The sequence below is a fragment of the Homo sapiens genome, chromosome 4, assembly GCF_000001405.40.
Source record: "Homo sapiens chromosome 4, GRCh38.p14 Primary Assembly".
NCBI lineage: Eukaryota > Metazoa > Chordata > Mammalia > Primates > Hominidae > Homo > Homo sapiens.
In genome coordinates this window covers 68486378-68498167 of record NC_000004.12, presented here as the reverse complement: position 1 = coordinate 68498167, position 11790 = coordinate 68486378, and the positions used below count along the sequence as shown (strand labels likewise).

The 11790-nt window shown below is 38.6% G+C and overlaps 1 protein-coding gene across 3 annotated transcripts in view; it reads right to left on the bottom strand.

The window, feature by feature from the left end:
* Positions 1-563: 563 nt before the first annotated feature.
* Positions 564-11790, bottom strand: part of TMPRSS11E (transmembrane serine protease 11E) — a 50142-nt gene continuing 38915 nt past the window's right edge. For all 3 annotated transcript variants that reach the window (NM_014058.4, XM_011531896.3, XM_047450139.1), the window contains one exon: positions 564-1525. In NM_014058.4, coding sequence (NP_054777.2) covers positions 1364-1525 — 162 coding nt within the window. In that variant the 3' untranslated portion in view covers positions 564-1363. The remainder of the gene's footprint in view (positions 1526-11790) is intronic.

Genomic DNA, 11790 nt, shown 5'->3' with positions numbered 1-11790 from the left:
TCTCTAACAGCTCAGTAATAATTTACCAAAACTAAAAATCATGAAGGTGGCCAATATCATGCTTTTACTCTTCAGTTTTGTTATCCAGGCAGTTAGCCATTCAGTGTCACACTAGATGCAGCAGTGAGGCAGCTTCCAGGATATTTTCTCTATGGTATCTTTCCATCTCAGCGAAGAGGAGTCTAACAGGACCATTAACCATGTATGAACTGTAAACACAGCAGCAGGGGAAGAAAAATATCTACAATCATCTCAAAATAGAGGTCTGAGCCCCAGTTCAGTTGCATGACTAGACTGTACACTAACACCTGGATCTCATTCCCTTCAAGGATTTGCTGTTTGGGAAAGTCTTAGATGAATAAAACCTTTCCAGTCAATTGTTTGAACTCTTCGTTCCCTCCCATTCCACAACACAATTATTTTAGTACATAAGCATGCTGATTGTTATTAAATTAATTTTCATCCTAGCCTCAAATTTTAAAAAAATTTACAATAAATTGACTAGTAACATTTTTCCCATCTTCCCCTTCTTTGTGGATTATCATATCATAATGTCAAGCAAATGGGTGATTTATATTTTATTGTTATATGTTGACATCCTCAGTAACAATGTTAAATAAATATTTGCTTTAATTTGCTTAGAACAAGTACATTGCATGAAGTTTGTATAATTATTATAGGTCACAAAAAAACAGAATCTTCTTCACATTTATCATAGTAGTTGTTTGGAAATGAAAATAAGGATATATCTTGGCTTCTTTCTGGATTTCCTTAACTTAGTTCCCATACTTCCTAAATGATGAAGTGATTGGTATTCTGCTGTCTTTGCTTGACCTTTCATAATGAATATGATCATTTCTAATATTCCACTAAGAAAAACACCTAATACTTTTCTGTGCCAATAAAATGTAGGGGATTTTTTTCTTCTTATATTTTCTTTCACTCCTTGTTCTGCACCTTGAAAATGGATATTTGCTGAAATGAGAGGAGCTGAGGAACTGAAGAAAAGGAGTGCTTCAAATTGTATATATGCATTACAAATTTATGTCAACAAGTCAAAATTCTGACAAAACTTCTAGAGAACAAATGAATACAGGCTGTAATGTAATATTGTATTATCTATTTCTCTATGTACATAAAGTTTCAACTATTGCTCACAGATGACAGAGTTGATCTGGCAGAAGCAGGATGCTTATGTGCGGAACAGAGCTGGGAAGAAAATACATGCATCAAGCAAACAGTTTATTGAGATCAGTCAAATCTAGCTGTTTTGCAAGTCTTCTCCAATTCTGTATCTCTAAAAATGGCCTCCACACCCAAAAAACAAAAAAAAATGTTATCTGTTCCATGAGGCTTTTCTCTCTTAGATACCAGTTTTTGAAGTAATCCAGTCCCGCAAGGCCGTAACTCTAGTATAAACACCAGGCTTGTTGGGTTTCGCACATTCATCTCCCCAGCTCACTATTCCAGCAAGGTACCAGATATCTCTAGCATCTGAACTAACCAGTGGTCCTCCAGAGTCACCCTAAAGGAGAAGACAGAAATTAGTAATTCATAATTCAGTTCATTACAGAGGAATTGGCTATTTTTCTAACTTAAGAATGTAATGAAAGGGGTAATTTTCAAAAGTATTCCGTGTGTTCGCATGCATAAGTGATTTTCTCCATCTATGTCAGTTATCCACCTAAAAGAGGACCTCCAATACCTTGAAAACTGATGAGATTGAAACCTTGAAACCTTGAAATACCTTGAAACCTTCAAAACAATGAGATTGAAGCCTCCATCTCTTTGAAGAACTGTACTCTTAACTTATGTGACACATCTGACAAAATAACTCCCTAATTATTTTGTCTATACTCTTTATTAGTGTAACATAACCCCCCAAAAAAGGGAGTGAAGAGTCTATTACTGATTTTAAAAAAACAAACAAACAAAAAAAAACAGACATTAGAGTCAGACACCAGGGTTTCTATCTCAAGTTTGGCCTTTCCATGCTGGCTAAGACCTTTAATTTATTTATCTGTAAATGCTCCTAATAATACCTACCTGTGATGAGTGCTATGAAGATGATGTAAGACAGTGAATGTAAAGTGCTTAGTCTAGCAAAAGGCAGAACTTAGGAAATGCATATATAAAATCACAAATTCTCATTATTTATATCCTGCAAACTCCAGAGTTTTGATTCTTTATATGGCTTGTAATAATGAGGTACTGGCTGATTATTCCTCAAGATCCTGGCGCTTCTAATTATTGACCACCCATTAAGTATTCATACTCACTCTATGAAGTTCTTAATTGATTAAAATATTATCTCATTAATTCATGTAATTCTTGTTTACAAAAAACATAGAACTAGGTTAATTTTTTCTGGGTTACTAAGAAAACTGAAACTCAGAAACATTAAGTAATTTGCCTGAGATCACGTGCTAATCAGTGGCAGACCCCGAATTTGAATCCAGAGCGATCTAATTCAGAAGCCCATGCTTTTTTCCCTACGTTATGCTAACTTCCTTGTGAATTTTCTTTTGTCCATTTAAAAAATTAACTAATATAATAGTAAATTTGAAATAATACATTTGTGATTTTAAATCAACTAACCAATAAGCATTTACTGATACCCTCGTATGTAGGAGGAGATATAAAAAGAGTATTATAAACACATGGATCTTGTCCTCTAGAAACCTGCAATCTGCTTATAGAAATAAGATATGCCATATGAAGCTATTCAAAAATAAATAATTTTGATAATAAAATCCCAAGTCTATATGCAGGCAGAGAAAATCAGGATAGAGAAATAGAAGATACAAGAGAAAACAAAGCTTTAATCAGCATAAGAGACAGGAATAAATGAGTCCGAGAATAAATAATTATTTTAAAGAGATAGCAGTATACAAATAGTAAATAATATAAATAATAGTATATAAATAGCAGTAAATAGCATTACAAGCTGAAAAGTAAGGTGATGTCCAGCAAGTATCAAATAGAAAAAAATATAGAGTCTATTCTACCAGCACTAATTAGCTCACATTTGATTAGTGAATGGCAGAGTTATGTCAGTAGAAGATGGAAATTATGATGGTTTAGATATGCTTTTTTTTAGGCAAGGGAGCCAGAATAATGGGAGTGGAATTATAAACTTCAGAAGAAAAGGAAAACCCTTTCAACTCAGCTATTACACAGGCAGACACATTTGGGGCACTGTTTTAAGAAAATGCCTGAGTGCCTGTACCCAAAACTCCCTCCCCAGAGAGATGTATCCTAGCTTTGTATCAGTTTTAGGTTGCATTTCCTCTTCTGCTCAGGACTACACTTCCCTGTGTATATTGCCTTAGCACCAGCAAACCTGTGTTTCCACATTATTTTTCTTTGCATTTTTAACATGCCCTGAGTAAGCCACCAGACTTTGGGCGTTTTGCCTGCCTACACTGTGCAAGCTATTTTTAAAGGTACCAATTATTATATTTGTTAATTCTTCAGTTATAAAGTTGCATAGCTTTTGAGGGACCAGTCTGTCTCTATCTCTATTTGTCTCATTAATCCTGTTATTTTTAGTGAATGGTTTAGTGAGAAACAGAACAGGAAGTGTATTCAGAAACTTCTAAAATTGGAAGAAGCCAAACAGGAAGCCGTGGAAGTATTAAGACACAAAGAAATGAGGGAATAGATTAGGGTGTTAACAGAAATAATAGGGGCATAAGAAATAAACATAAAAGATATGGTAAAGTGGGAAAATAGTCTAGGACTTAACTGAATACATGTGGAGGAAACATAAGAGTAAAAAAAACTCTAATAGTGAACCCTAATAATATGAGCGAGAAACTTAAAAACCCAGGCAACATTTCATGATGCCTGTTGAGTTTCAAATGGCACATATACAAATTTTCATTTCCTATTAAGAACTTAAAATATATAAATAGAAATCACTTTGAAGTAGGTAGAAATGTAAGACTAAATATGGGCAAGAGTTGAATTCTGGAGACACAGGTTTGGCACTCATTAAGGTGATAGCTGAGTTCAAAGAAAAGATGGCTTCTTTGAGTGAGAATATAGACAGCAGATAAAAACTTTATCTGAGATCTGAATCTTGAGCATAGCCAGATTGAGAGAGAGAGAGAAAGATTAATCAAAGGATACAGCCAGAAATGAGTAGATGGAGGAGGAGGAAAGAAATCAGCAAATTTCAGAATTATGAAATTCAAACAAGGGATATGTCTTAAGAAAGGCAAGGTCGCCAAATACCACTGAGATGAGAAACAGTAGGAGATTCAAGGAAAAATTTTTACATATGAGGTTATTAGTGGTTTTTGTGATATTAAAATATAAAGAGCAAGGCAAGTGGTAAAAACTGTGGATGCTAGACATGAACATTTTTTAAATGGAGGCTGGGCAAGATGGCTTACACCTGTAATCCCAGCACCTTGGGAAGCTGAGGCAGGTAGATCTCCTGAGGTCAGGAGCTTGAGACCAGCCTGGAAGCTAGGAAGGAATTTTTCACCAACATGGTGAAACCTTGTCTCTACTAAAAATACAAAAATTAGTCTGGTGTGGTGGCGGTTGCCTGTAATCTCAGCTACTCAGGAGGCTGAGGCGAGAGAATAGCTTAAATCCAGAAGGTGGAGGTTGCAGTGAGCCGAGATCACACCACTGCACTCCAGCCTGGGTAACAAGCATGAAACTCCATCCCTCCCCCCCAAAAAAATGGGTGCCATGTCTTCCCAGAGATAAGAAAGTAGAATATTGTAATCATAGGGCAAATTTGGCTTCTCTTCTGTAGCTCACAAAGTTTGTAAAGCGTGTACCTCTAATATCACCATCAAAATAGTATTTTTGAATGGGGACATTTTCAGATGAAAGTATATAACATCTGGGATTAACTTCAAAATAGATTTGATATTTTGGTAGGGAAAGGGGATGAGGGGATTTTATCAGGGTATGTACGGATAACGTAAGGTTGGCCATGAGTTGTAAATTTTTGAACTAGGTGATGAGTACATGAAAGTTCATTATTTTATCCTCCCTATTTTTGCATACCATTGAAATTTTTATAATAAAAATTATAAAATAAAAGATTAAGAGGGCATACATCTGTTTCTCTGAAATTTTTAGGAAGGACATTACTATAGAGACTATAGAAACCGAGATAGTTGAATAAAGAAAATAATGGATGATCATAAATGTAAAAGTGCACGATGTTTTCAACAGTTTCAGGAAAGTTGGAGGCAAGTAGGATGATGATGATTAGGACAAAAGAAGGTCTAGCATAATATCTAAACCATCAATGATTCCATGACCGTCAAGAAGACAAATAAAATACAGGTTATTCTCATTATTCATGGTAGTCGTGTTCTGTGAAGTCACCACAAATGCTGAATTAATGACTGTTGAGTCCTTGTTCTTAGGAGAAATACAGGGTTGGTTTTCCAGGAGACTCTGGTCACATTTTTGTCAACTGCTCAAGACATAAACAGATTTCGTGTGTGTTTCTGTTTAAAGACGTTCTATTTAATATACATTGTTGATTCATTAACATTAAACTCACAGTAAACACCGCTAAAACTTATAACTAAACAAAGCTTACCAAATATACATATTTTCTCCATATGGCACATCACAACCTTCTTGCACTATACTTTGGCACTACAGTTGGGGACTATTTTAAACAGCAAAATCGCCAGCAAAGATAATAAAAATGTGAAAAATGTAGCACTATGTAGACCAAGAAAAGACACTTGTTTACAGAATGAGAACTGAAACAAAAAGGCACAGTATCACATTTTTCAACCTCAGGTAAGAATATGCTCATTGAGTAATAAGATATTTTGCCACTCTGTGCATGCTTGTGAATGATCATAAAAGTGCCTTGAGTATTGATTTGGGGGTTACAAATAAATTTTAGTGAGTAGGTGAATTTGCAAATATGGAATCTGCAAATAACAAGGATCAAGTATATTTTCAAGTCATCTTTTAAGTTGAATTCATTTCAGGAGATTGAATTACAGAATCAATTTCAATTGTTAGGAAGGAATTTTTAGTAGTGTGTGGTAATGGGACCAATCTACTTTGTTCCGTGTGTTCCTCCAGGAGCAATTAGGAAACACAGAAAAAGAAACAAAATGAAGTGAGTCTAAACTTGGGCATTTGCCAGAGTATAAACAAAGGTCAACTGAATAAAAGAATTTAATGTAGCAAACTGAACATTGCTAAAACGACTAACCCAAAGGTAAAAGTTGGGAAAGAACTATAGTGATGCCAACAGGGAATTAAATGAGGTGGAGCAAATGAAGGCAATACAGATAGTGTTCATGCGAAAGCATGAAAGGAATAACATTAAAAATTGTAAAAAAAAATCTTAGAAATTAATGGTACCATTTTATGAATACAGATTAGAAAGCACACAGAGTAACATGGAATTCTGAAGAGAACTATAGGGCTTAGAAAGCACATTAAACAAAAATTCTGTCAAATCACAAAATGAAAATTATGAAAGCATTTAGTGACACACAGAAGGAACCAGTTATTGGCCCCCTCCATGATTTTGTGAGTGATGCACATGAAGACATAGAGGTCAAAATTTTTGTATCCACCAAAGGCACAAAATTGGTGGCAATAGCCAAACACTGGAAAACAAAACCCGGCTTCAAAAATATGTAAACGCTCCAGACCAATATGGGACAGACTTACTTATTCTTTTTTCCCCAGCTAAATATGGCTAAAACAAACAAAAAAATACCTGGGCATTACAAATAAAACAAACATAAAAAGACTCTGAAAATTAGAGAGAAGACGACAGGTGGGCTCAGAAATGCAGGACAAAAGGAATGATACAAGAGTGAGCTCTCTCAATTTTTTTTTTTTTTTTTTTTTTTTTGCTTCATATATCATGGACTTGGAAGAAGCCAGCAACCTGGCAACCTGCCAACAAGTGCAAGTTTTTTAAAAGGCTCCAAGAAAATCCTGCTCTCCCTAGTAAAATAATCAATAAGAGGACAACTTGGGAAAACAGCAAATCCAGGAAGACAATAAATCCCAACTGAAAAGACTTCCATGCTTACCAGGCTGTAAGAAGGCCCAATTCCCTACTAGATTGGTGTCAGAATATGCTGAATAGGCACCAGGTGCAGTGGCTCACACTCGTAATCCCAGCACGTTGGAAGGCTGAAGCAGGTGGATGACCTGAAATCAGGAGTTTCAGACCAGCCTAGCAAACATGGCAAAACGCCGTCTCTACTAAAAATACAAAAATTAGTCAGGTGTCGTGGCACATGCCTTTAATCTCAGCTACTCAGGAGGCTGAGGCAGGAGAATTGCTGGAACCTAGGAGGCAGAGGTTGCAGTGAGCCAAGATGGCACCACTGCACTCCAGCCTGGGCAACAAGCGAGACTCCACCTCAAAAAAAAAAAAAAAAAAAAAAAAAAGAATATGCTGAGTGGGAAGCATGAACTACCACCCAGTAATGAGGAATAACTCTCCCCATCTACTAGAACCATGTCTGAGGAGAGGTAGTGGGAAGTCAAGTCTTTCACCACTGCGAAGCAGTAATGAAATCACTACCCCATGATGTCAGTGGAGGCCAAAAGGGGAGCAGTAACAAAGTACCTTCAGCCAGAGTGTTATCAGAAGAGGCCTAACCTCCATGCAGTAGTAATGAGCATTAGTCCCTCACCTGAGCATCAAAGGAAGCTGAGTGGGAAATGAGGCAATTCCTTCATACATCCCCCTCCCTCTGCATCACAATGTCTGCTGAGGCATGGTTAAATAGAAAATTTAAATAAGATCTAGAGTTTTAAATAATAATAATTTAATTTTTTCAAATTATTATTATTTCATTATTTAATAAATACTAAAACAAAATGGCCGACCAGACGCAGACAAGAAGACCTTCTCCCAGTGAGGGACCAGACCATCAAGAAGACTGGCACACTCTGAACAAATTTTCAGAAAGAAGGCATTGAGAGTTGATGGAAGGAGAATGCAGACCCCAGGCTGAAAGGGAAGGAAGCTGGTAACCCTGCACAGGGTTGCCAAGCACCAGAACTTGTTCCTGGCCTGGAGAGGCTCCTGGGGAAGGAGTAAGTTAAATGGTCATGGAGTGGCCAACTCACACCACAGACCTCCAGAATCTTAGCTGCAGGAGACCCCTCATCCCCCATGGACAGTTAAGGTGGCAGGGAGAACAGCCTGGAGAGTTGAAAGAGACAGAATTCTAGCCTGCACAGAGTCCACAGGGTTTGGCATGAGAATGGCTACAGCAGAGCATGGCATGGGTGCCCATCCCCCAAATATCATACATCTCTAGGTGGCTTTCGCCTTTGTTGATGGACAGACCTGGACATCACAGGGCTCTCTTGCTTGTGGGATGGGAACAATCTGATCCAAGCACTCGCTTGTCTGCTGGCCTATGCCAAATTCCCTGCCTGGCTACACAAACTTGCAGCACTGCCTCAGCTGCCCAGCCAAGGCATTTTTTGACAGCCACAGCCATTGCTATTTTGATGGCAGACCCTGCCTAACAGCTGGAGAGCTCCTGAAGGCAGGTCCCTGTCAGTGAGCGCCCACCAGCATGCACTCACTGGCAGCCTCTACCTGCTGCTTTGCTGTCATGCCTTTGCCTGCAGCCTCCAGCCACTGACTCACTGGTGTATGCATGCACACTGACCCCATCACTGCCCCACCACCAGCACGCATGCCTGTGCAGGACTTGCCACTACCCCACGACCAGCACGTATGTGAGCACAAGGACCCTCACTGACCCACTGCCACCCCGCCAAAGTGCCTTTGCCAGCACAGTTTTGTTGCCAGTGGACCAGGAACACCTCATTCCTTCCAACCCAGGAGGTACTTAACCTCTAGGGGCTAGAGAAAACCGCCTCAGACCTGGTCCCAATTTCCCAAGGTTACAGCCTGGTACAGCATGCAGCCCAGGAGTGCTGAGCTAACCCTTGGACCCCTGAAATCATCCAAAAACGAATGAAATTAACTAAGCACAACTAATACCACAATCAAACCACAAAAGGCATCAAAGAATATAAAAGTAAAAAGCTCCATACAAAGGACAACAACTTCACACACACAGATGAGAAAGAACCAATGCAAGAACTCTGGTAACTCTAAAAGCAAGAGTGTCTTCTTACCTCCAAATGACTGAACTAGCTCCCCAGCAATGGTTCATAACCAGACTGAAATGACAGACATGGAATTCAGAATACAGATGTCAATGAAGATCATCAAGATTCAGGGGAAAGTTGAAACACAGTCTAAGGAACTTATGGCATCAATAAAATAACACAAGAGCTGAAAGATGAAATTGCCATTTTAAGAAAGAATCAGGGTCGGGCGCGGTGGCTCACGCCTGTAATCCCAGCACTTTGGGAGGCCGAAGGTGGGTAGATCACGAGGTCAGGAGATCGAAACCATCCTGGCTAACACGGTGAAACCCCGTCTCTATTAAAAATACAAAAAAATTAGCCGGGCATGGTGGCGGGCCCCTGTAATCCCAGCTACTCAGGAGGCTGAGGCAGGAGAATGGCATTAACCCGGGAGGCGGAGCTTGCAGTGAGCCGATATCTTGCCACTGCACTCCAGCCTGGGCAACCGAGTGAGACTCTGAGAGAAAAGAAGAGAAGAGAAGAGAGAAAAGAAAAAAGGAAAGAAAAGAAGAGAAACTGATCTCCTAGAGCTGAAAAACTCACTACAAGAATTTCATAATACAATGGGCAGTATTAACAGCAGAACAGATCAAACTGAAAACAATTTTAGAACTTGAAGGCCAGTTCTTCAAATCAACTCAGTTAGATAAAGAAAAAGATATTCTTTAATGAACAAAATCTCCAAGAAATATGGAATTATATAAATATACCAAATCTACAATTCACTGGCATCCCCAAGGAAAGAGAGAGAGCAAGCAACTTGGAAAACTCATTTATGAATATCGTTCCTGAAAATTTCCCCAATCTTGCTGCAGAGGTTAACATACAAATTCAAGAAATTCAGAGAACCCCAGAGATATAACATACAAGACACCCATCCTCCAGACGCCTTGTCGTCAGATTCTCCAAGGTCAACATGAAAGAAAAAATCTTAAAAGCAGTAGAGCAAAGGGACAGGTCACATACAAAGGGGGTGATATCAGGATAACAGCAGAACCTTCAGCAGAAACCTTATAAGCCAAAAGAGATTGGGGACCTATACTCAGCCAGCATTCTTTTTTTTTTTTTTTTTTTTTTTTGAGACAGAGTCTCACCCTTGTCACCCAGGCTGGAGCGCAATGATATGATCTCAGCTCACTGTAACCTCTGCCTCTCAGGTGAAAGCAATTCTCCTGCCTCAGCCTCCCGAATAGCTGGGATTACAGGCGCCCATTAGCATGCCTGGCTAATTTTTGTATTTTTAGTAGAGATGGGGTTTCACCATGTTGGCCAGGCTGGTATATTCAGCATTCTTAAAGAAAAAAATTCCAATCAAGAATTTCATATCCAGCCAAACTAAGCTTCATAAGCGAAGGAGAAACGGAATCTTTTTCAGACAAGCAAATGTTAAGGGAATTTATTACCACCAGACTTGCCTTGCAAAAAGTCCTTAAGAGAGTGCTAAACATGGCAACAAAAGACCATTACCTGGCTAGGCATGGTTTCTCACGCCTGTAATCCCAGCACTTTGGAAGGCCGAGGTGGGCAGATCACCTGAGGCCAGGAGTTCAAGACCAGCCTGGCCAACATAGCGAAATCCCATCTCTACTAAAAATACAAAATTAGCCAGGTGTAATGGCATGCATTTGTAATCCCAGGTACTCAGGAGGCTAAGGCAGAAGAATCGCTTGAACCCAGGAGGTAGAGGATGTAGTGAGCTCAGATTGCACCTTTGCACTCCAGCCTGAGCAACAAGAGCAAAACGCGGTCTCAAAAAAAAAAAAAAATTCCTGACACCACAGAAAAGACAATTACATAGTCCACTGACACTATATGCAACTATACAATCAAGCCTGTGGAATAACCAGCTAGCAACATGATGGCAGGATCAAATCTTCACATATCAATATTATAACTTGAATATAAACAGGCTTAATGCCCCACTTACAAGGGACAGAGTAGCCCATTGGATAAAGAAGCAAGACCCAACTGTATGCTATCATCAGGAGACCCATCTCAAATGCAATGACACTCATAGTCTCAAAGTAAAGGCATAAGGAAAGATCTACCAAGCAAATGAAAAACAAAAAAGAACAGGGGTTGCTACTCTTATTTCAGACAAAACAGACTTTAAAACAATAATTAAAAAGGACAAAAAATGGTGTAACAAAGTGATAAAGTGTTCAATTCAACAAGAAGATTAACTATCTAAATGTATATGCATCCAACACTGGAGCATCCAGACTCAGAAAATAAGTTCTTAGAGCCTACAAAAAAGACTTAGATAAATACAAAATTATAGTGGAGATTTCAACACCCCTCTAAAGGTGTTATAAAGGCAGAAAACTAACAAAGATATTCCGAACCTAAACTCAACACTTGACCAAATGAACCTAAGAGATATCTATAGAACACTCCACCTAACAACAAGAAAATATACATTCTTTTCATCTGCATATGTATGGCACATACTCTAAGATCAACCATGCACTTGGCCATAAAGCAATTCTAAACAAATTTTTAAAAATCATTCCAATCACACTCTCAGACCACAGTGCAATAAAAATAGAAATCAATACCAAGATCTCTCAAAATTATACAATTACATGGAAATTAAACAGCCTGCTCCTGAATGTCTTTTGAGTAAAGAATGAAATTAAGACA